The sequence below is a fragment of the Homo sapiens genome, chromosome 10 (genome assembly GCF_000001405.40).
Source record: "Homo sapiens chromosome 10, GRCh38.p14 Primary Assembly".
NCBI classification, from domain to species: domain Eukaryota; kingdom Metazoa; phylum Chordata; class Mammalia; order Primates; family Hominidae; genus Homo; species Homo sapiens.
In genome coordinates this window covers 95,662,954-95,689,160 of record NC_000010.11, presented here as the reverse complement: position 1 = coordinate 95,689,160, position 26,207 = coordinate 95,662,954, and the positions used below count along the sequence as shown (strand labels likewise).

Below are 26,207 nucleotides of genomic sequence, written 5' to 3'. Positions count from 1 at the left end.
TGGAGAGTGAGTAGTCTGAAAGGCCCCAGAATTGAGAGCCCCATTCATGCTGACTTTTCAGCAAGCTGAAAAGTCAGGTAATTAAGATGTTATCCATTATCACAGAGGGTAAAGGTCAGGTTCATTTAACGTGGAATCCTCATTTGCTTTCAATGATGCAGGTATTGTAACCTCTTTTACTCTGTACAAATGACCATTACTTATATGAAGAATGAAACTGGCAAGGGGCATGTTTCCCTATGTTCTTTTTTCAATTTAGCAGACTTGGAGTAGTAAAGCAGACAGAGTGTTGTCAATCACCTGCCATCTTCTGGGCAGGGGACAGCATCACAGCCCTTTTCCTACATCTCTCTACTGGTTCTGAAGTGCCATAAAGAGATGACTGCAAGAGTTTCGGTAGATTTATACATTGCTATCATAGAAATTAGAGAATTCTTCCAGAAAATACCCTTTTGAAGTATCTAAAATCTTGAATGGAGGAATTATAAGGCTTAAGGAATAAAATGCAACAAATCTCTAAACTTGAGAGATGGCAACATTGTTAGGACTCGTCAGTTGTTGTTAGGACTTGTCAGTTGAAGTGTAGAGGAAACAGGAAGATTTGGAAAGGACAGATCAAATAATTATCATAATTGTCTCTAATTGTCCCATGTTCCTATGGAAATAGTGCGATTCTGTTAGAGACTCATCTGGTATGGGGCAGACATGAGCATTATCGAGCTTCCTATTTTCTTTTTTTTTCTTTTTTTTTTTTTTTTTTTTTCTTTTTTTTGACAGAGTTTCGCTCTTGTTGCCCAGGCTGGAGTGCAGTGGTGCGACCTCGGCTCACTGCAACCTCTGCCTCCCAGGTTCAAGCAATTCTTCTGCCTTAGCCTCCTGAGTAGCTGGGATTACAGGCGCCTGCCACCATGTCCGGCTAATTTTTTGTATTTTTAGTAGAGATGGGGTTTCAGTATGTTGGCCAGGCTGGTCTCGAACTCCTGACCTCAGGTGATCCACCTGCCTCGGCCTCCCAAAGTGCTGGGATTATAGGCCTGAGCCACCATGCCTGGCTGAGCTTCCTATTTTCATTACAAATTGCTGATCATACACATTCTTGACCATCAATGACTTGAAACTGACTGGCATTCATGACCATATTCTTATCTCAGATCTGCATATTAAAACAATAATTCAGTTAATAGATTGTGAATAAGAAGTGATGGAAATCAGAATTGTTATTTCTGGAGATGGAGTATTGATTGGGAGCCTTCTGGGGAAATATTCTGTAACTTGATCTGGATAGTGGTAATACAAGTATATAAATTTGTAAAAATTCTTTGAGTTTACACTTAAGATTTGCACCCTGTATATTATGCTTCAATAAAAATATTTTTTAAAATTAGTTACTTGGCATGTTTTTCTTTTATCTAAACGCTTTTTCTTTTAAAAAACATTTTAGCAAACTTAAACTATTTCCAGAAGCTTCAAAAGGTCAATGCAACCAACTTCCAGGCCCTGGCTGCAGAGTTTGGAGGCGAATCATTCACTTCAACATTCCAAACTCAATCACCACCATCTTTTTACAGGGTGAGCCTGGGGAAGGGGATGGGATTGTTTGGTTTAGTTTTTACTCTCACAGCAGACAGCTGACAAGGTAACTTTGCAGCACTACCCTGCAGCTAGCTAAACCATTGTCAGCTCTTTGGAGGGCAGTACTGTCCACGTAATCATGCCCTTGAGTTAACCTTGTTTCTACTCTTTCTTTTCTGTTGTAGTTTAGTCCAGTCTCACTGTGAACAAAGTTTCTTTTATATTTTATTCAGGCTGGGGACCCCATTCTTACTTACTTCCCCAAGTGGTCTGTAATAAGCTTGCTGAGACAACCTGCAGGAGTTGGAGCTGGGGGACTCTGTGCTGAAAGCAATCCTGCAGGTGAATCCAGAGCAAAAGTACCAACCTTTTCATTCAATTTAAAACAGGCTTTCTCATTTACCACTCTCTTAATTATTTGTGTTTAAGGTTTCCTAGAGAGTAAAAGTACAACTTGCACTCGTTTTTTCAAGAACCTGGCTAGTAGCTGTACCTTGGATTCAGCCCTCAATGCTGCCTCTTACTATAACTTCACAGTCTTAAAGGTAGGTGTCCTTTCTCTCCCTACACTGTCACTACTATGAAGTTGAAGTGAACATGCTTCTCACTGTTGTGGGTTGTGGAAAGAGCATTGAATAAAAGTCAGAATCCCCAGGAGCCACGTAAAAGACAGAGGGCCTGGAAACCACATCTGAAGACAAATGAAATAATTGGGGATATATATGCAGGATAAGAGATCATCACCCTTCTCACTAATGGGATTGGCTTGCGAGGGTGGAAGGGGGAAAACACCCATCTCACCAAACTTCTTGCTTTTGCTATTCAGTAGAGCCCTGTCAGAGTAAATAGGCATCACAGTCTGTCACCCTCCTGCCTGGCTCCACTTCCTGGCATTTTAGTGTAAAGAAGAGTCAGGTGGAATAGAGGAAGTAAATCATTCTAATATATTGACTCCCCTGCCCGCCAAACCAAAGCCTATTGGTAGTAATATGAAACCACAAGCTCCTGGTGATTTTTGGTAAGGTATATGCACATTCATGTCCCTGCTGTTCTCCTAGGTTCCAAGAAGCATGACTGATCCACAGAATATGGAGGTATGATGCTGTTGTACCAGGAAAAAAGAAAAAGAATATTTGGCTCCTCTGCATCTGAGGCAATTTTAGTCTAAGTTGTACTGTTGAAAGATAAATGTAAGCGTGATGTAGCAAACAATTAAGTAGGGATCTAAAACGGTGCCTTTGCAAGTACGTCCTATACAGTTAATAGCCTCGTATGAAACCAGGATCCATAAGGTGTTAGATAAGTTTGTAAACATTGGGTTAAATAAACTATATTTAGGGTGGGCTTCTTAATTTTTTTGAGAGACAGGGTCTTGCTCTGTCACCCAGGCTGAAGTGCAGTGGCACGGTCACAGTTCACTGCAGCCTAAACCTCCTGGGCTCAACTAATCCTTCTACCTCAGCCTCCCAAGTAGCTGGGACTATAGACGTGTGCCACCATGCCCAGCTAATTTTTTAATATTTTGTAGAGATGGGGATCTTGCTATGTTGTCCAGGCTGGTCTTGAACTCCTGACCTCAAGCAATTCTCCTGACTTGGCTTCCCAAAGTATTGGGATTATAGGCGTGAGCCATCTCACCCCTCCTGGAGTCTTTAATTTGCTAGAGGGCCTTATTAATCTCTAAGGGGAATACTGAATATAGTATTTCTAACAATTATTTGACTATGGAACCCTTGTTTTATATTTAATAGAACTAGTGTTCTGAGAAATAAGTTTTGAGAAGTGCTCGTTTAGAAAGACTTGAATTTAAGTTGTTGGCTGGCACTGGAAGAAGAGAGAGAGAGGGTGGTCAAGGGGAAGGAAAAATACTCATCTTAGCATGATATCTATTAATAGATACAAGACAAAATACCGCCTTCAGTTTTAGTTAATTTGCTTCTTTTCGTTGCTAGTTCCAGGTTCCTGTAATACTTACCTCACAGGCTAATGCTCCTCTGTTGGCTGGAAACACTTGTCAGAATGTAGTTTCTCAGGTAGGGATACTGACCTCAGATTCTGGACTGATGTGTGTTAATCAACACTGCCAGAGGTGCCTCATCTTCCATTAAGTATCAGACTGACCCAACTGAATTTTGTTTGCATTCTCTAACAATGTTGGGAATGCAAACTTGTTGTATTGGTAGATTCTTGGTTGCAATCCTTGGTAAAAGTAGCATATTGTGAATTTCAACAATTCCCAACAAGTTTGAAATTAAACTTGTCAATAATTGAGCCCATTATCCTCCCTACCACGTTTCAGTTATTTCCATCACCACCATCCTCCAGTATTTCAGGTCCAGGACATTAAAATTATTTCTGACACCTCTTCTGTTGCCCACTTGCAGTCTGTTACTGATTCTTACTGACTGACCACATTTTATTCTCTTGACACAGTATCATCTGAAACTCTGAAGTAGATTAATCAACTTGTATTCCTCTGTTCTCTAAACAATCTAACCTTAAAAAGTAAGAATTATCTTAAAGCATCTTCTTAAAGACTATGCTCAGAAATTTAAGGTTACTTTCAATTGCCTGCAACTTGTATCCCCAGCAATGATCTTTATTAATTCTCAAACATTGTGAGAGCCAAGTAAACCAGATTTCTGTTCCATGCTCACCTCTGCCTGTTTCTACTTGCCCTCCTCTGTCCGTAATCAACTTATTTTTCTTCCCTTTCAGTTCCTACCAAAAACTCACCTACCCGTGAACCCTTTTAAAGAGCTCTATCCAGTTTCTTTTTCATATACAAATATAATATGAAATCATCTTTATCTTTCATAGTATTTGTGTTTGGCATTTTTAACATTACTGTTTCAGTCTGCCTCATTTAGTTATAATAACACCCTTGAAGACAGAAAATCTTCTGTCCTAAACATATTCGGCCCAATAACTACTTTTTATTAATTGATTCTTTTTGCATTTCAGGTCACCTATGAGATAGAGACCAATGGGACTTTTGGAATCCAGAAAGTTTCTGTCAGTTTGGGACAAACCAACCTGACTGTTGAGCCAGGCGCTTCCTTACAGCAACACTTCATCCTTCGCTTCAGGGTTAGGGCCCTTCTCTTATAGGGGATTTAGAGGGGAAGAAATATTGGGTTAGAAATAATTTCTTTGCTTCTGTAATACATGTGAAATAGAATAAGAATATGAAGGCCTAGTTCAGTCTGTCGATTGAGGCCTCAACATTTAATATTCCATAATTTTACTACAAGTTGTGGTTATTCTACAAGTCTTTACTCATTAAAATTTTCTCCAATTCTCTGTCTGGCCCCCAACAAAGCAGGACTTCAATCTAAAATCAAAACTTTTTTTATAGTCATTTTGAATCATAAATTCAGCCAACACCTACAAAAATTCTTTAACTAGCTGTTCTCATATTTCTGGGCAGTCAGCATTTTACTCATTTCCCACTTAATCTGAGTGTTCACTCTTAATCACTGCCATTTGGCTTTCTGCTACTTCTTTCCTCTTTTTGAACCCAGCATAGATTTTCTCAACTCTACCCTCAGGTGATCAACCAACTGCTGTGTCTCTCAGAGCTCATCTCTGGAACATCTGTAGTTAATTAAAATATATATTTTTTAATTACATTTAAATTTTTCAGATTTTAACCAGGCTGTGTTATTATTGCTAAATTGCTAGTAATTTTTAAGGGATCCTTAGTAGATTCTTGGTTGTAATCCTTGGTAAAAGTAGCGTATTATGAATTTCAATATTCAGATCATGAAGGATTTATTTTAGTAAATTTAAAAAAGTGAAAGAAGCAAAATGCTACACTGTGGAAAGAAGCCAGATTGTTCAGTGTAGCTCACTTATTGCATTTCCTTGCCTTAAGGAAGGGTACGGTGAAGCCAAGCAGTGGGAGGTGGGAAAGTATGCTTATCTCCATAATTGACTTCTCTTCCCTCTTTCTGCAGGCTTTTCAACAGAGCACAGCTGCTTCTCTCACCAGTCCTAGAAGTGGGAATCCTGGCTATATAGTTGGGAAGCCACTCTTGGCTCTGACTGATGATATAAGTTACTCAGTATCCTTTTTAGAGCTGGGTGGCCTGTTGCAGCCTAATGAGAAAAGCTGCAAAGGCTTTCAAACTTATGTTAGACTAGCCAAAGGTGAGGAATTTTTTGTTCATTATAATGAGGTACTTATATACTAATATATGGTTAATCATTTTTGGAATCTAGTTGTCTCTCTGTGGTTTTCTGAGGAAAAAAATCACAAATTTGTGACTCGAACATTATGATAGTAATACAAAATAAATAGCATTAAAGGAGAATGAGAACATAAATTTTGCAATGCTGCCTCCTTTTTTTTTCTGTTATGATGTCCTTGATCATCACTTTTCCACCTTGGATGACCCTCTTACAGAGCCAGGGTAATGGAAGTTGCTCTGTTAAAAGACATGAAGTGCAGTTTGGAGTGAATGCAATATCTGGATGCAAGCTCAGGTAGTTCTTTGCTTCCGCATCATTTCCTGCAATTTCGGGAATATGTAGGGAATATGTTGATATGGTAACTTTTATATTTTTAATGACAGTTCGGAAAATGCTAGTCAGGAATAGTCTTTTAGTCTAAATAGTGTTGATATTGCTAAGAGTTTTCTGGCAATTGTTAATACCTACTAAGGATTATACCCTCTGGTCTATTTTATATTATTTCCAATGTTTGGTTTAACATACCGTACTAATATAGGTATATTATTATGTTAGCATTGGACTGCAGCCTCCATGGTGTTTAATTATAGGTTGAAGAAGGCAGACTGCAGCCACTTGCAGCAGGAGATTTATCAGACTCTTCATGGAAGGCCCAGACCAGAGTATGTTGCCATCTTTGGTAATGCTGACCCAGCCCAGAAAGGAGGGTGGACCAGGATCCTCAACAGGCACTGCAGCATTTCAGTAAGGAGAGAAATATACTTTCTGATGAAGACTCATTTTTACCCCTTTGTAAATCTTGGATAGTAAGTTTAAAACCAGCCTTGTCTCCATAGATAATGCATTTGTCATAGAAGGAAGAGTATAAGAAATCATGCCCACTTGAAGCCTTTTTTTTTTTGAGATGGAGTCTCACTGTGTTGCCCTGGCTCGAGTGTGGTGGCATGATCTCGGTTCACTGCAACCTCCACCCCCCGGGTTCAAGGGATTCTCCTGCCTCACTCAGCCTCCCGAGTAGCTGGGACTGCAGGCACCCGCCACCACACCCGGCTAATTTTTGTATTTTTAGTAGAGATGAGGTTTCACTATATTGACCAGGCTGGTCTTGAACTCCTGACCTTGTGATCCGCCTGCCTCGGCCTCCCAAAGTGCTGGGATTACAGGCATGAGCCACCGCGCCTGGCCTTTTTTTTTTTTTCTAAGTCAAGATCTTGAACTCTTACCTAGGCTGGAGTGCAGTGGCACAATCATGGCTCATTGCATTCTCAACCTTCTGGGCCCAGGCTATCCTCCCACCTCAGCCCCTCGAGTAGCTGGGACCACAGGCACATGCCAGCATGCCTAGATAATTTTTTGATTTTTTTGTAGAGACAAGGTCTCAGTATGTTGTCCAGATGGTCTCAAACTCCTGGGCTCAAGTGATCCTCCTGCCTTGGCCTCCCAAAGTGCTGGGATTACAGGCATAAGCCACTGTTCCCAGCCTGAAGTAGTTATTTCAGGTTAGGTTTAAAATACCTAATGTATTTTCCTTACTTAGAAAAAAATTTGAAGGCAGATAATCTACAGATTTCTGTTGTTCAAAAATCTCATATATTTCAAATATTTTATATTCTTGAATATTTGGTCAGCACAGAGTTTCATGAGGTTAAAATTGTGCTCTTTCTATTGTAATTATAAAAATTTACATTTTTACAATTATTTACATGAAAATGCATTATCTGGTTAAAAATCAAAACCATATAGAATGATATGCCTTTCTGCATTTTGCAATTAATCCTCCTGGAGTACTGCATTAGGTATACCATATTTCTATTCTGGAAACTTTCGAGGCTCTCTGATGGCTTCCAGACTACTTGGATGCACTTCATAATCTAACCCTTACGTATCATCTTCTTTGACTTTACACTGCTCCTGTATTCAAATCCTTTACTTTAGCCACATGATCTGCTCAAGCCAGTGCCTACTAAGCAGCTCACACATAGGAGATACTCAGTAACTGTTATTTAGATTAATCAAGGAAGCCAGGTGCCATGGCTTACACCTGTAATCCCAGCACTTTGGAAGGCCGAGGCGGGCAGATCACTTGAGATCAGGAGTTTAAGACCAGACTGACCAACATGGTGAAACTCTGTCTCTACTAAAAATACAAAAATTAGCCAGGTGTAGTGGTGGGCATCTGTAATCCCAGCTACTGGGGAGGCTGAGGCAGGAGAATCGCTTGAGTCCAGGAGGCAGAGGTTGCAGTGAACTGAAATCACACCACTGTACTCCAGCCTGGGCAACAGAGCGAGACTCCATCTCAAAAAAAAAAAGATCAGAGGTCGGGTGTGGTGGGTCTCGCCTGTAATCCCAGCACTTTGGGAGGCCAAGGCAGGCAAATCACAAGGTCAGGAGTTCAAGACCAGCCTGGCCAACATGGTGAAACCCTGTCTGTACTAAAAATACAAAAATAAAAATTAGGTGTGGTGGGCACCTGTAATCCCAGCTACTTGAGAGGCTGAGGCAGGAGAATCGCTTGAACCTGGGAGGCAAAGGTTGCAGTGAGCCGAGATCGTGCCCCTGCACTCCAGCCTGGGTGACAGTGCGAGACTTCGTCTCAAAAAAAAAAAAAAAAAAGATCAGGAATAATAACATAGTCTTATTGTGAACTTTTGTGTTCTTCCACTAAGCTACATTGCCTTCCTTATTACTGAATAATGCTTAAGAAACAATGGCTTAGTACTTGGTGATTGACTATAGGCAACCATCAGGCAATTCAAGCAGATGCTTCTTTACCCTTCTGCAGGCTATAAACTGTACTTCCTGCTGTCTCATACCAGTTTCCCTGGAGATCCAGGTATTGTGGGCATATGTAGGTCTCCTGTCCAACCCGCAAGCTCATGTATCAGGAGTTCGATTCCTATACCAGTGCCAGTCTATACAGGTAAGTCATGGCTCATAAAGGATCACTAAACCTTGCAAAGCCTAGATTGTCTTATCAGTCATTTGTTAACCAAATAATTTTTTACCTTCCAAGAGCTAATTTATGTTAGCAACCAATGTTTGTTTAAAGTGAGCTGACATAATTTGTCAAGTCTATTCACCCTGCCTGATTACTGAAATTAACATGATGTCATGAATACCGCTTATATCCTTTTTTAAAAAAAATCTGACCCCAGATTATAGTACAGGTTAATTTCTTTTCAGTAATCCTACCATTATTACTATTCTGATTGATTCAACCACAGAAAACACCTTCCATAATTGTTCAATCTGTCAGCCACACAGTTATATGTGAGTCCCTGAGCCTGTTGATTGTGATTAAAGTTACCGCTGTGACTAGTTTATAGTTACCAGCTCTTGGTTGTATCTGCTCCATTAAATGAACACTTTTAATCTGTAGCAAACATATACCTATTGTTTATTATGCGCCTTAGGAGAGCTTTAGCATCTGCCTTGGTGTTTAAACCAATCTTTAGCTATAGAAGTTTAAAAACATGGTATTTTCATTTTACTTAGAAATGACGGCCGGGCGCGGTGGCTCACGCCTGTAATCCCAGCACTTTGGGAGGCCGAGGCGGGCGGATCACGAGGTCAGGAGATCGAGACCATCCCGGCTAAAATGGTGAAACCCCGTCTCTACTAAAACTACAAAAAATAGCCGGGCGTAGTGGCGGGCGCCTGTAGTCCTAGCTACTTGGGAGGCTGAGGCAGGAGAATGGCGTGAACCCGAGAGGCGGAGCTTGCAGTGAGCCGAGATCCCGCCACTGCACTCCAGCCTGGGCGACAGAGCGAGACTCCGTCTCAAAAAAAAAAAAAAAAAAAAAAAAAAGAAATGACTAGGTCCTAGTGAAATTATTCACATATAAACTGGCATGCCAATTTAGTAACTTATAATGAAAATCAAACAGATTTAAATTCTTACCTGTTGCACTGTACTTACATCCCAGAAATAAAGTAAACTTGAGACTACATTTAGGTCAGAAGTAAAATACCTTTGGGTCTCCCTCACAACAGGGTTGGGCAAGTTATTTCTCTTTGCCTAGAAATGGGGTCAACACTCAGGTTACCAGAAACTGTATTAATGAGAACATTCAATTATATTTTTTGGTTACTGTGTTGTTTGGAAAGATACCCACAGGACTGTTCACTGTGTATTTCCACATCTCTGGTTCCTTTAGGCATTGAAGTCACTCAGTGCCTTTTTTTTGTCTGGGTATTTTAACTGATAGCTTTTTCTAGTATTTAGCAAAAGTTAGCTTTTCAGGTTAGTTTGTCCCCGCTACAAAACCACACTACAGTCATTCACTTTAACTGGCCTAAGTGGGCGAGAGTTGAGAATTTTAGCTGTGCTTCATTCATACATAATTGAAGAAACATTATCTGTTCCAATTATTAAGTAAAAATTAATTGTTTGAATGTATTAATATGTGGTATGATATACACAAAACCACGTTCCTTTACTAAGTGTGATTTGAGGGATTTGCAAAGGTAATTTTGTGTAAAAATTTTCACTTTATGGGCTAACCAGCTCATCCCCATGAAAGACGCTATGCTCCTATAAAAGTATAAGGAGTTATAAAATGATACTTATATCTTATAGTGCTTACAATAAGCTTATAATAAAACATCTTAAAAGTATCATTTCATACTTATATGAAACTTATATCATAAAAGTTTATCAAATGCAAGCATTTCCTTCTATAATAAATTTTTTTTACTTCTTCAATCTTGAATGCAAATTTTCTCCAGAAGTCAGATAAACATACTCACTTTTTCTTTATGCATTTATGATTATTTGTCCTTAACTTGAAATCACTTCTCCGTCCACACAGGCTTTTGTCTAGGACATCTTGTGAAATTTTTTTTTTTTTTTTTTTTTGAGACAGTGTTTCACTCTTGTTTCCCAGCCTGGAGTACAGTGGTGTGATCTCGGCTCACTGCAACCTTCGCCTCCCAGGTTCAAGTGATTCTCCTGCCTCAGCCTTCCGAGTAGCTGGGACTACAGGCACCTGCAACCACGCCCAGCTAATTTTTTGTATTTTTAGTAAAGACGGAGTTTCACCATGTTGGCCAGGCTAGTCTCGAACTCCTGACCTCAGGTGATCCACCCGCCTCAACCTCCCAAAGTGCTGGGATTACAGGTGTGAGCCACCACGCCCAGCCTCTTGTGAAATTTTTTTCTCAGAATAGCAATAGCTTATCCAAAGAAAGCTAGTGTACATCTTCCAAAGCTTTTAAAATAAAAAAGAGGAGGAGTTACACTTGCAGAATGTATATCTTCTGGGATGCTTCTCCCTACTCCACTGGACACTGTTTGAAAGTTTGTAGTTTATAATATTCTTACCTAGGCTGTGTTGGTCAGCTTAGAATATCTAAGTGATAGGATAAAACTAAAGCTGAGTGGCAAACTGCCAGTCTATATACTGCATTTAGTCTATAGGCTTGTTTTGTTTGGCCCACAAAGCATTTTATTATTTAAGTTTATGCCAACATTTAAGAATCAAGAATTTCCCAGACATTCAGATTTCTGACTTCAATTGAAAATCTGACAGTATAAACCCTATTATATTCCTGCATGGCATAAAATCTTCAGTTGCTGAATGGTGATATCCACTTTTAGAAAGAGTACTCTACCCTGTTCTGCATTCATACAACCTAAGCCAACCCGCCCTTCACCATCCCACTTCTCTTTCAGGTTATCTGCTTAGGCTGGTAGGCATTTGTGTTTATAAACCTTGAACTCAAGCTGCTAGATGGTCAGTTGCATTGTGAACTGAACTATCTGAATGATTTTTCATTGTAAATATATAGCTATAGAAACACTTTAAATTCCTCTTTCTATAAAAAGTGAAGTAGCAAAATTTTTGGACCATTCCCAAGGACAAACAATAAAATAGAGGGAAAATACAGCAAAAAAAAAAAAAAAAAACAAAAAAAACTGTAGACTTCACTATCTTCTTGTATGATTATTATAATATATAAACATTTATTGAACATTTACTGTGTGACCGATACTAGTGGTATTTTTAATCAGTGTTTTTTGTAAGTGTTGAATTCTCACAACAAACCCATGAGGTAAACAGCATTTGTTTATATGGTATTCTGCCACTTACAATTTTATACTATTTAGGGTTCTAAAGGGATCTTTAAATTTGAGAATTAATAAAACACATCATATGTCATGTCTACATATAAACCCTTTAAATTAAAAAATATATCTCTAGGAAGAAACAACTAGTTTTAAGGAATATGCAGTATCAATTGAAACCAAAACAATAAGTGAATTTAAAAGACAATGTAGCATCACAGGATCATGGCTCTAAACCTTTCTAAAATTATAATATTTAATTTGTGTTTATCACCAAGTGAATCATCTACTCTTTAGATTATCTAGGAGATCCATTGTCTGCAGTTTATATGGTAAGCATGGGCTTTGAGTCAGACAGACCTAGGTCTAAATCAAGTTATTTTACTTCTCTAAATCTGTTTTCTCTTCTATAAAATGGAAATTAATAATACTCATTGGGTTGTACAGATTAAGTGAGATCATTAAAGTAAAACAGCACAGTTCCTGGTACGTAGTATATATTCAGTAAATATTACTCTTGATATCATTATTATCAATTTTATCATCATTAACTTTTTTGGTTCCAAGCTTCTATAGAAGTAGCGTATCAAGAAGTTTTGAGGCAAAACAGAAAAGAGAAAAGCAGGTATTAAAGCAATGTTTTTCAACCTTTGTTGACTATCACCCATGGTAAGAAAATATATTTTATATCATGACCGAGTTTGCAACACACATGTACATAAAATAGACACAAAAGTTTTATGAAACAATGCCCTTACTATACCCAGTGCACCCACAATTTGTGATTTTCAGTATCACAACAGAAAATGTGATATTTTCTGGCCGGGCGCGGTGACTCACACCTGTAATCCTAGCACTTTGGGAGGCCAAGGTGGGCAGATCCCTTAAGTTCAGGAGTTCAAGACCAAGTCTGGCCAACATGGTGAAACCCTGTCTCTACTAAAAATACAAAAATTACCTGGAAATTACTCAAACCCGTGAGACGGAGGTTGCAGTGAGCAAAGATCCTGCCACTGCACTCCAGCCTGGGTGACAGAGCAAGACTTTTTCTCAAAAAAAAAAAAAAAAAAGATATTTTCTATTCTGGTTTATTCTGGTTTGTTTTTGTATTTTAAATGCTAGACAAAACCCACTAGTGGGTCACAATTTGCAATTTGAAAAACACTTTCAGAGGATACATCTCTGACTATATTTCATAACTAATTGTTTTATTTAATAAGCATCTTTTATTTATTATAATTGAAAGTTGGCTATGTTTTATACCACAGTCAAATAACATATGCTAGAAAAATTGCCAATCTAGCTGTCTGTCTTAGTGGTTCTGAATCTTATGGACCCCACTGAGAGAATCTATTTAACACTATTGACTTACTAGAAGAATGCAGACATGCAACATTCCTTATATTGTTCCAGGGATTATTGATTTTTCGAAGCCAGGCTAAGAACCTCTGCCACAATCTTGTAATTAAACAGGCAGCATACTAGGAAAGATAAGGAACAATAATTAAGAGTAATTCAACATTAGATTTTAGAAATAATTGCTACAGTAGAAGGGGCTAGGAAGTGACAGGATTAGTAAGAAGGGATTCTCTTTCTCCTTTTTGTTAATGTCTTGGAGAATACTAACTGACTTCTCTTTCAATAAGGGACAGTTGCAGCACCACCAGTAGACTTAATAACTATGACTCAGTAGTTTCTGTCACTGAAATCTTTCTTTCACAAGGATCAGTCAACCACTATTTGCTTTTATCTCTTAATGAACTATTAGACTATAGAAGTACTTTGCCTCCTTCTGTGGTTTCCTAATAGCTAGCATTGAAGAAACTGACCTAGTTCATTCAGCTGGGGTTTATTTTTTAATTATTTTATTACCTTTTTTTTAAAAGAACTTTTCAAAGTTTGCTTAATGTTTCCTATGTTAAAATATATAACCGGCCAGGCATGGTGGCTCACACCTGTAATCCCAGCACTTTGGAAGCCGAGACAGATGGATCACTTAAGGTCAGGAGTTTGAGACCGGTCTGGCCAAAACGGCAAAACCCTGTCTCTATTGAAAATACAAAAATTAGCTGGGCATGGTGGCACACGCGTGTAATCCCAGCTACTCCAGAGGCTGAGACAGGAGAATTGCTTGAACCCGAGAGGCGGAGGTTGCAGTGAGCCGAGATCGCGCCACTGAACTCCAACATGGGTAAAAGAGCGAGACCCTGTTTCAAATAAAATAAAACATATAACCACTTGAAATCTCTCCCTGATACATGACATTTAACCACCTTTATCCTGTAACATATTCATTCTCAATGACTCCTTTGAAAATTTGGATAACTTCATTGACATCTTTAAAATAAGTTAGGGAATTTAAAGATTTTCAGTAGCTTCTCTCTCAAATATGTTTATCCCTAAGGAAAAAAAAATGGAGATATTTAAAGAAAAATTACCTTTACATGGACATTTACAACACACTTTATTTATTCATTCATTCATTCATTCATTCATTCATTCTAGAGATGGGGTCTCGCTCTGTCACTCTGGCTGGAGTCAAATATGCTTTATTAAATAAAGTCTAACATTCATAATAGAAATCACCATATCTGATTGTGTTAAATTAAAAGAGACTTGTAGATATAACATACAGATACAGTTTATGTTTTTGGATAGGAGTCTGATTTGGACAAAGAAATGTAAAGCACCTTTTGGGATAGTTAAGGAAACTTGAATATGGACTATATTTTAGATAGGAAAAAAATGTTATTGACATGAAAAGGTAGACACTATTTTTTTTAAAGTAGATTACAAGACAGCCTGTACAGTATGATCTCGTGGTTAAAAATATACATATGGATATCCGTGTGTATAGATAAAATATAGATATTAATAATGGTATTCTTAGCGGTAGAAATATGGTTTTATTATTTTTATTTATATTCTTTAACTTTATTATTTACTGCTTTTGTAAAATTAAACTTAAAGTCACTAGGAAACTCTAAAAATAACTAGATGTTATTTAAAAATGAATTTATTCAGTTTCATTTACAATATCATGGAAAAATTACTTAGGAACAATTTAGCAAAAAGATGCAAGACCTCTTCACTATAAAACATTACTGAGATAAAGGAGATCTAAATAAATGGTTCATGAAGAGGACTTAACATTAAGATTTCTATCCTCAAATGGATCTATAGATTTAATGCAGACCCAATAAAATCCTAGAAGGTATTTTTGTAGAAATTGATGAGCTGATTCTAAAATTTAAATGGAAATGCTAAGGGCTTAGAATAGCCAAAACAATTTTGAAAAAGAACAAAGTTGGAGGGCTTACAGTACTTGATTTAAAGACTTACTCTAAATCTCAGACAGAGTGGTACTCTAGTATAAAGATAGACAGACCAATGGGACAGAAGAGAGTTCAAAAATAGGTTCATAAATCACATCAATTCAATGGGAAAAATTTTAAAAAGTATGTATCTATTTACTTCTTAGAGACAGGGTCTTAAATTGTGTTACAGCCCAGGCTGGAGTGAAGTGGTGCCATCATAGTTCACTGCAGCCTCGAATTCCTAGGCTCAAGTGATCCTCCTGCCTCAGCCTCCCGAGGTAGCTAGGACTACAGGCACATGCCACCATGCCCAACTATTTAATATTTTGTTGAGATGAAGTCTCACTATGTTGCCCAGGATGGTCTCAAACTCCTGGTCTCAAGTGTTCCTCCAACCTTAGCCTCTCAAAGTTCTGGGATTACAGGCATGAGCCACCTGCCCTGAAAAAAAAAAAGTTTCTTTTTTTTTAACAATTGGTGCTGCTGAAATCTCAGAATTCACTATTAAAGAGCTCATCCCTGTAACCAAAAACCATCTGTACCTCAAAAACTATTGAAATTTTTTAAAAGTTGGTGCTGGGACAACTGGATGAATCTGGAATTACTGGGTAAACATATGGGGGAAAAATGAACTCTAACTTGTATCTCAGTCCATACATAGAGTACTTATGTCTGGATCATAGACCAATACATAAAATCCAGAATTATAAAGCTTCTAAAAGAAACATAAGAGACTGTAAGTTTGAAGAAAGCAAAGATTTCTTAGACAAGAAACAAAAAAATCATTGACCATAAACTTTAAAATTGATAAATTAGACTTTAGCAAAATTAAAAATCTCTGCTCACCAAAAGATACCATTATGAAAATGAGAAAACAGGCTAGTTTGGGAGAAAAAGTTTCTCAATAGTTTATCTGACAAAAGACTCATATCTAGAATATAAAAAGACCTTTTACAAATAAACAATACAATGACAAACTAAAAATGGGCAAAAGATTTGAACAGATACTTCAGCCTGGTGCAGTGGCTCACTCACACCTGTAATCCCAGCACTTTGAGAAGCTGAGATGAGCGGATCACTTGAGGTCAAGAGTTTGACACCAGCCTGGCCAACATGGTGAAACTCCATCTCTACTAAAAACACAAAAATTTGCTGGGCATGGCGACGCATGCCTGTAGTCCCAACTACTTCAGAGGCTGAGGCACGAGAATTGCTTGAACCTGGGAGGCAGAGATTGCAGTGAGCCGAGATCATGCCACTGCGCTCCAGCCTGGGCGACAGAGCAAGACTCCATCTTAAAAAAAAAAAAAAAAAAAAAAAAAGATTTGAACAGATACTTCACAAATGGAGATAAACAATTGATCATTAAACATAGAAAGGTATTCAACATCATTATCATTAGAGATATGCAAATTAAAACCGTGCGCTACTACTTCATGCTCACAAGAATGGCTAAAACAAAAAAGACTGACAATCATGTTCCAAGAATGTAGAACAACTGGAATTCTCATACATTGCTAGTAGATAAGAAAATTGGTCTAAACTTTTACAAATGCATCTTCCTTATGAATCCACAATTTTACTCCTAGGTGTTTACCCAAGAGACATTAAAACATATGCCCCAAAAAAGGCTTGTGCAAGGAAGTTTATAACAGCCCTATTCATAATCACTCAAAACTGGAAACAACCCAAATATCCATCTTGAGGAGAATGGGCAAATTATGATATATTCGCACAATGGAATACTACTTAGCAGTAAAACAGAATGAATTACTGATACACAAAACAACATAGATGAACGTCAGAAACATTTATCTTTAGTGAAAGAAGCCAGACACACACACACAATAATAATAATTAATTTTTAATGATAAAAGTCAGAAAGTGGTTACTTCTGGGAAAGGGACAGAGAATAGACTGGAAAGGGACATGAAGGAGCTCTGAAATGATGGACATACTCCAGACCTTGCTTTGCGTATTGGCTATAAAGCATATATAATTGGCAAAACTCATTGAACTAAATATTTAAAATGTATATATTTTATTGTTTATAAATTATACCTCAACAAAAATATTAAAACCAAACAAAAAAACATTTAAAAAAACATGAGAGGCCAGGCACAGTGGCTCACGCCTGTAATCCCAGCACTTTGGGAGACCAAGGCGGGCGGATCACCTGAGATTGGGAGTTTGAGACCAGCCTGACCAACATGGTGAAACCGTGTCTCTACTAAAAAAAAATACAAAAAATTAGCTGGGCAAGGTGGCACACGCCTGAGTCTGTAATATATGTGTCTGATAAAGTTCTTATATATGTAAAATAAGGAACTCTTACAGCTCATTAATGAGTTAGACACTTGTACCAAAGATGAATTTGTTCTAGTTGATAGTCTGAATGCAGCTACAAAAACACACCTAAAAGTTAGTATCCACAATTTTTTCTTTAATAGTTTTTATTTGTACTGATTTTACGTAGGGTATTAACATATAATGGTTTAAAAATCGTGATCATACAGATGTAATGTATAGGGTGTACTTCTTATTACCAAAGCCTAACGTAACCTAATCCAAGTCTTCATGTTGTTACAAAGTAAATCTTATTTTGGGACAAAGGATTTTATTGTACTGTAAATTGAATTGAAGCAAATAACCCCCCAAACTTTACAAAGTGTTAAAACAAAATTGCTGGTGGTAATTTCTTAAGTAAACATCATGAAATATAGCTTAAAGTAGAAATAAATTAAGTCAACCATACATAACAGAACTGGACCCACAGTAAATGAAGTGTGCTGACTGGGCTATGTATCTTTTGTCTGTCTTGATAAAAGAAATGAGGTGACCAGATTTTGAGAGAGTTATTTTTCCCCAGTGCTCTTCCTGTTGCACACACTAAATAAACAGTGAATTCTCTAATTTTGCCTATCTATAACTTTTAAAACACAAATGGAAAAATTTAGACTTGAGAATCAAAATAAAACACTGAATATACTCAAAGAACCTTGTTCTTCATGTGATACTAAAACTCAAATTCTAAAATGGGTCAATAGGCTGGTGCAGTGGTGCACACCTGTAATCTCAGCACTTTGGCAGGCTGAGGTGGGAGGATCACTTGAGCCTAGGAATTCGAGACCAGCCCAGGCAACATAGTGAGACCCCATCTCTACAAAACATCAAAAAATTAGCTGGGCATGGTGGCATGCACCTGTATTCCTAGCTACTCAGGAGGCTGAGGTGGGAGGATTGCTTGATTCTAAGAGGTCGAGGGTGCAGTGAGCCGTGTTTGTACCACTGCACTCCAGCTTGGGCGACAGAGTGAGACCCTGTTTCAAAAAATAAAATAGGCCAGGCATGATGGCTCATACTTGTAATTCCAGCATTTTGGGAGGCGGAGGCGGATGGATTGCCTGAGTCCAGGAATTTGAGACCAGGCTGGGTAACATGGCAAAACCCCATCTCTACTAAAAAAAAAAATATACAAAAAATTAGATGTGCAAGGTGGCACACGCCTGAGCCTCAGCTACTTGGGAGGCTGAGGTGGGAGAATCACCTGAGCCAGAAGAGGTCAAGGCTGCAGTGAGCCAAGATTGTACCACTGCACTCCAGCCTGGGCAATCAGAGTGAGACCCTGTCTTAATAAATAAATAAAAATAAAAATAAAATAAAGTAGGTCAATAACATTTGGTATTATCTGGTTACCTAGTAAGTGCAATGTAAGCTCCTTTTAATTGGAGTATCTACTAGGCTGCATTTACTCCAAACTTCTATACAATTATGGAGGCAATTTTAAAAATAAATGCAGAATAAACATTTCATTTGAAACATTTGTTAATAAATACATGAATTAATTAAGCACAACCATTAAGATCCTAATTACCATGTGATGGGAAGGAAAAAGGGTCAAATAGATCTGTAACTGCTAACTCTTTTTTTTTTTTTTTTTTTTTTTGAGACGGAGTCTCGCTGTCGCCCAGGCTGGAGTGCAGTGGCGCAATCTCGGCTCACTGCAGGCTCCGCCCCCTGGGGTTCACGCCATTCTCCTGCCTCAGCCTCCCGAGTAGCTGGGACTACAGGCGCCCGCCACCTCGCCCGGCTAATTTTTTGTATTTTTAGTAGAGACGGGGTTTCACCGTGTTAGCCAGGATGGTCTCGATCTCCTGACCTCGTGATCCGCCCGCCTCGGCCTCCCAAAGTGCTGGGATTACAGGCGTGAGCCACCGCGCCCGGCCTGCTAACTCTTAAATAGCTGTGACATACTTTCTACTTTGTGATTTATTAATCTCTTATTATGTTAGTTCCCTACCTCCAAAAGAAATCTCCCCTCATTTGTTTAAAAAAAAAAATCTTTATTGAGTGCTTACTCTGTGCCAAGTACTATGCCTGGAACTAGTTATAGAGAGGTGAAGCAGATAGACATCATCCATGGAAGGTCTGAGACACCCCTGAGGTGAACAGTTCTAATCTGTGTAGAAATTCACCAGCAGATACTGAAGGCCTGAACTTGGGTGGGAGTTTGGAGGGCTTTGAGAAGTGACAGAATTCAGATTTAGAGATGCCACAGGTAAGACTTGGCTATGTAGATGTGGAGGTTGAGGGGGAAGGAGTCAAGGATCCATGTGTTATTTTGATAAATTCATACACTATGTGATGATCAAATCGGTATTTAGGATACCCATCACCTTGAACATTTGTCATTTCTTTGTGGTTGGGAACATTTAAAATCTGCTCTTCTAGCTATTTTGAAATACACAATATATTGTTATTAATACAGTCGCCCTACTATGCTGTTGAACACTTAGTTATCCTTGACTTACCTGTTTCACAGATAATGTATTGACTTTCTATTTTTGTAGGTCGGTTATTTTCCTCCTACCCCCCCACTACTCTGCCAGTGTATTTGCATCAGATTATTAAATCAGTATTCAATGTTTCATCATGATGTTTATGTGAATATGCATGCTGCGGCAAGTATTCAATTTTTGTGGAACTTTTTATTTTTCTGAAATTAATAATTACCTATTTCACTCTTAGTTTTCTTTGAGCTAATAGCTAAGGCTTCTCACACTCTTCAACAGCTCTGTAAAATTTCTGTCAATGCAGTTTTTCAAATAGTTGAACTTGCCATATTATCTATCAGTTCCACATTTTCCTGCATATTTTCTTCATGGAGACCTCCATAACCCCATAACCTGATGTAGTGTGGACTAGTTGCTGCCCCGCAGTGGTCGTGGGACTTTCTTGTACTGCCATCTAGGGAATTATTCTTACTTGTCTTAGATTCACTGTTTACTGGACACTACTTCGTCCTTTTTCTTGGTTTATTCTCTTGTATTTATGGAGCTTAGAGTCTAATAATTTGGGGGGGGAAGATGCATGTAAAGTATTTTTTTTCTTTAGTTCACATTGTCTGAAAATATCTTTATTCAATCATCATCATCCATCATCATTATGCTTAAATGATCATTTGGTTAGATAGAACATTCTAGATTGAAAATTATTTTCACTCACAATTTTGAAGGCATTCTTTCATTGTCTTCTAGTTTCCAATATTGCTGTTCAGAAGCCATTTTAAGATCTTTTTATTCTTAATAGTCTGAAGTTTTCAAAAGTTTATGCCTTGAGTAGATCTTTTCTTCATTCATTATACCAAATTTTTTACTCTGAAACTCAGTTCTGAGAATTTTCTATTATTATTACATGATTAACAATTTCCTTCCCACTCTTTTCTCTGATATCTCTTTTTTTTTTTTTTTTTGGCACTCCTATTAATCTGTTAGGGTGTCGCTAGATTGAATCTCTATTTTTCTTTTCTCTCGTTGTCTATCTCCTTATCTTTTTGTTCTTCCTAAAAAAGATTCTCAACTTTATCTTTTAACTTTTTTACTGAATTTTTTATTTTGGCCATCAGATTTTTAATACCTAAGGTCTGTCTTATTCTGTTTCTTTTCATAATATCTTTTTTCATGTATCTCTGAAGATACTAACAACTTTGCATCTTCATCTTTCATTGTCTGTGTTTCCTCAGAGTTGTTTATTCTGTTCATTTGGTACAGTTTTTCTCTTTATTGTGAGAAACTTTCCGCATGTTTGTCAATCTTCAACTCTCAATCCAAAATAAGAGTAAGCTGTTAAGCTGACTGAAAGCTCTGTGATTGTGGGTGACACTGACTGACTTGTGGCCTTCACTGTGGAGCAGTTAGTATCTTTATGTCTTTGCTGGAACTGTTAATTTTTTCCAGAGAAAACTCTAGTCTCCTGACTGAAGGGTATGGGTGTAAAACCATCTTCATCTAAAATGAAGTAAGCATTTTAGAGCTAAATTAGAGAAGGGATAATTCCCCATTTTTCATTCCATGCCTCACTCTGTCCTTCTTTATGCCCAATGTCCCTGAATCCAGAATTTCTCTGGCTTAAGTGGTTTAGTCTCTTGTTGAGGGGGAGAAGGAATAGTTGCCTGATTGCATTGAAGGGATATCATTCAGTAATGATTTTCCATCTGCCCCTCATCCCTTCCTCTGTTACCTCCTGTCACTGAGTCTTTAGAGTTCCACAGAGAAAATCTGCTTGTATCTAGTCTCTGAAAACTTTCAGGTTTGGCCTTCTTTCTCTCTGTTAAACCTTGCTGCCATCTGCTTTCTGTTTTTGCATATTATGATGTCTCCCCATTCCAGTGAACATGGAGTTTTTGTATCTGTTTCTTGTTGGATTGGAGTGGTTTTAAGATATAGAGGGAGAAGACATGTCTTTATGCTGCTGTCTTCAAATCTAGTAGTAGCTCTTAATGAGCACATATTCTGGGTGACTCCGAAAGAACAACTCAGTTCGAACAATTTTTGTCATGTGGGGTTTCTCAGCCACTGAAACACCACTAGAAAGATATTAATATATATACTTGAGCAGACATTGGCCTAAGGTTTGCCTTCTTGGGTTAATAGTTATATTAGAGTTCAATTCTGGGTATGGGATGACCTCAAGGATACAGAAATTCCCTGATTTGGGAGTTTGAGGAGGCTAATGATACTCTTTTTCCCTGCCTAAGTTTGAAACCAATTAAAAGGAGTCAGATAAAGATAATCAAATATCAGTTTTATTACTAATTAATGCTAGGTGGATATGATTTGGGTGTATAGCAGTGTTCAATACCACACTCTTCCATCATGAGACCACTATCCCAATTCCAACCACAGCTCCTTTGGGAATTCTCCTGGGACTGCTAGTGGGCAGTTTCAAATCTGCCCCCCTCCTAAAAGCTCTGAAATAACTTAGAATAACACATTGATTCAATCAACTTCTAGACGACACTGACCCATAGCTGAAAAATCATTCCCTATTCCGTTTCCCATCCCAAAGTATTTCTCACCATTTCAGCCAGTATAGGTCACCAGGCATTTTGCAGTGAGTTTACATAACAATATTAACATGCTTCAATAATGTCAGCTATAAAGATTTGCTCCAAAAATTGAATATATGTCCTCTCCCCATTATAAAATTCCTGAAGGAAAACTAAAGTCCTAATAGTAAATCCTTTTGTAAGTTTAAGTCAAAAGAAAGTTTATTATTTATTCATAGGTAATATGTTCTTATCCATTTTCTTTCTCTGATTAGTCTCAGCCAGTCTTCGATGCCTGGCTGGAGTTAGGAATCCCTCGGCAGCTTCAGCCCAGGCTGGCCATCCTTGTAATGTATGTGGTTCTTTCAGTGCCTCAGAAGTTATATTTATCCTATGCCAAGTCCCTCATGAGCCTCACTATGTTAAAAAAAAAAAAAAAAGGCTGGGCATGGTGGCTCACACCTGTAATCCCAGCACTTTGGGAGGCCGAGGCGGGCAGATCACTAGGTCAGGAGATCGAGACCATCCTGGCTGGACACTGTGAAATCCTGTCTCTACCAAAAATACAAAAAATTAGCCAGGTGTGATGGTGGGCACATGTAGTCCCAGCTACTCGGGAGGCTGAGGCAGGAGAATGGCGTGAACCTGGGAGGCAGAGCTTGCAGTGAGCCGAGATCACGCCACTGCACTCCAGCCTGGGCGACAGAGCAAGACTCCATCTCAAAAAAAAAAAAAACTACAGAATTAATTTGAATGCAAGATTAGCACAGGACTGACTCAATACCCATTTAAAAACAAACTTTGGGAAGCTGAGGCAGGAGGATCACTTGAGGCCAGGTGTTTGAGATCAGCCTGGGCAACATAGCAAGATTAACATGGAAATTTTCCTAGGACTATAAACAGCTATTTTGTTAAACTTGAAGATTTTCTTCATTCACCCTCCTTCATTCTGATGCACATATTATGCATCAGAGAGGGCAGTTTCAAATAAGCCCTCCTAAAGGCTCTGAAATGAGTTAGAATAGCACATTTATTAAATCAACTTATAGACAACACTAACAACTGCCTCTACAAAAAAATATAATAATAAAAATTAGCCAGGCCGGGTGCAGTGGCTCACACCTGTAATCCCAGCACTTTGGGAGGCTGAACTGGGCAGATCACTTGAGGTCAGGAGTTCGAGACCAGCCCAGCCAACATGGTGAAACCCCGTCTCTACTAAAAATACAAAAAAATTAGCTAGGCATGGTGATGGGTGCCTATAATCCCAGCTACTTGGGAGGCTGAGGCATGAGAATCACTTGAACCCGGGAGGCAGAGGTTGCAGTGAGCCAAGATTGTGTCACTGCACTTCAGCCTGGGTGACAGAGTGAGACTCCATCTCACACACACACAAAAAAAAAATTTAGCCAGGTGTGGTTGTGCACTCGTATAGTCTTAGTTACTCAGGAGGCTGAGGCAGGAGGATCACTTGAGCCCAGGAGGTCAAGGCTGCAGTGAGTGATGATTGCACCACTCCACTCCAGTCTGGGTGTCAGAGCAAGACCCTGTCTCTAAAAACAAACAATCAAGTGACAGTCCCTAGGAGAGTTATTCCAGGCAAAACTATGTTCCCAGAGCTTGGTACTTACTGTTGCCAAAGACCACAGCAAATGCATAATATGTTCATCAGAGTGAAGGAGGGTGATTGAAGAAAATCTTCAAGTTTAACAAAATAATTATTTACTGTCCAAAAATTATAATCAAAAGTTTGCTTGTTGAGCTGAGTCAAAACAAAGGGAATTCATTTTAGATAAACATGATTCCAGACATCATCAGGCTGCAGCCATATCTACCAAAGCTACATCTGTTAGGTCAGATACTTGAGTCAGTCTGACAAGATCCCTTCTTCTAGGAACATCTGTTTTATTTGGCATGAATTGGTGGGTGGTGGAAGGATCCTTCCAACCCTGAGAGTCTGTGAGTGACCTTTCTTTCTGCCATTGGAGAAGGAATAGAATTGCTACTACTACTTTCACTTGTACATATGTACTGTTTCAGAGCCTGGAGCCTTCTGATAGAGTAGAGCTGCTAAGCACCTAAGAGCAGCAGTTTTGCCATGTGGCCTCTCTGATATCAGGCAGCTCCCCAGCTAGGGGAAGCTAGAGTCAGGGTTTAGGTAGGTGTAACTGTTCAGTTCTGCTATCATTGACTATTGCTAAGATATTCATTTCCTTGTGTCTCACTGAAAGAGAACTACATAGGACCAATATGAGATAAAGGTATATCTTGCTTAGAATAATTCATTTCTCTCTTCAGGGAAAGTAATAATAACAGCCAAGTTAGAGTGCTATATGAATGGGTACCAAGCGCTGACCTGTCATTGACTTTCTTCCCGTAGGATTCTCAGCAAGTTACAGAAGTATCTTTGACAACTCTTGTGAACTTTGTGGACATTACCCAGAAGCCACAGCCTCCAAGGGGCCAACCCAAAATGGACTGGAAATGGCCATTCGACTTCTTTCCCTTCAAAGTGGCATTCAGCAGAGGAGTATTCTCTCAAAAATGCTCAGTCTCTCCCATCCTTATCCTGTGCCTCTTACTACTTGGAGTTCTCAACCTAGAGACTATGTGAAGAAAAGAAAATAATCAGATTTCAGTTTTCCCTATGAGAAACTCTGAGGCAGCCACTTATCTTGGCTAAATAGAACCTCACCTGCTCATGACCAGAGAGCATTTAGGATAATAGAGGACCTAACTGAAGGAATCCTTGTATATGAAAGGAGTTATTTTAGAAAAGCAATAAAAATATTTTATTCATCATAGCTCTCTGCTTTGGGCTCTGCAGGCCACCAGATACACATGAGGCCCCTACTTCTCAAGCTGGGAAGGCCAAGAGCCTTCCTTCAGCCTTTCTGGTTATGTTACACCTAGCTGAATGTTTACAAGGTCTGGATCCATCAGCCCTCAGGCACAGTTGGGCCAAGCAGAAAGAGAGAAACACTTCTGCTGTCACCTTGAATGAACTCAGGAATAGCTTCCCTCTGGACTGTAGAGGAGCTAACTGTTTGGAACAGAAAACTGCTGGCTGTTGATTTTGTCTGGTTCCTTTGCCAACATCTGGGCACACCCTTTGCCCAGACACGAGTGGGGAAAGCAGTTCTTTCTCCTCAGTTTCCAAAGTAAATGGGGAATCCCAGCTTTCTTTTCTACTAGCAAATGACCCTACCATTTATTTCTGCCTTTTTCTTCCGTTCATTGTGAGGAAAAATAAAACTGGTTGAGAGCTTTGTTGTACTAATTCCAGCAGCATGGTAGAAGGCAGCTGACCTGTGGTCTGCCTCCTGATTATGCTTCTATGTTTGTGAGGTTTGGGGAAAAAAAGTCCGGGTAGAGTGGCTCATTCCTGTAATCCCAGCACTTTGGGAGGCTGAGGCAAGAGGATTGCTTGAGGTCAGGAGTTTGAGACCAGCCTGAGCAATGTAGCAAGACTCCACCTCTACAAAAAATGAAAAGCTGGCGGGCCACAGTGGCTCATGCCTGTAATCCCAGCACTTTGGGAGGCTGAGGCAAGAGGATTGCTTGAAGTCAGGAGTTCGAGACCAGCCTGAGCAATGTAGCAAGACTCCATCTCTACAAAAAATGAAAAGCTGGCCGGGCACAGTGGCTCACGCCTGTAATCCCAGCACTTTGGGAGGTCAAGGTGGATGGATCATGAGGTCAGGAGTTCAACACCAGCCTGGCCAAC

The 26,207-nt window shown here is 38.9% G+C and overlaps 1 protein-coding gene across 8 annotated transcripts in view; it reads left to right on the top strand.

The window, feature by feature from the left end:
- The window catches only part of TCTN3 (tectonic family member 3), a 30,527-nt gene extending 4,767 nt beyond the window's left edge, over positions 1-25,760 (top strand). Inside the window, exons 4-14 of one of the 8 annotated variants that reach the window (XM_011539627.3) lie at positions 1,442-1,569; positions 1,806-1,914; positions 2,002-2,117; positions 2,631-2,666; positions 3,525-3,605; positions 4,537-4,662; positions 5,532-5,639; positions 5,981-6,060; positions 6,357-6,510; positions 8,552-8,689; positions 24,861-25,760. In XM_011539627.3, coding sequence (XP_011537929.2) covers positions 1,442-1,569; positions 1,806-1,914; positions 2,002-2,117; positions 2,631-2,666; positions 3,525-3,605; positions 4,537-4,662; positions 5,532-5,639; positions 5,981-6,060; positions 6,357-6,510; positions 8,552-8,689; positions 24,861-25,094 — 1,310 coding nt within the window. In that variant the 3' untranslated portion in view covers positions 25,095-25,760. Of the gene's footprint in view, positions 1-1,441; positions 1,570-1,805; positions 1,915-2,001; positions 2,118-2,630; positions 2,667-3,524; positions 3,606-4,536; positions 4,663-5,531; positions 5,640-5,965; positions 6,061-6,356; positions 6,511-8,551; positions 8,690-24,860 lie in introns of all 8 variants that reach the window. The other 7 variants (NM_015631.6, NM_001410982.1, XM_005269690.3 and 4 more) reach the window with 7 other exon arrangements.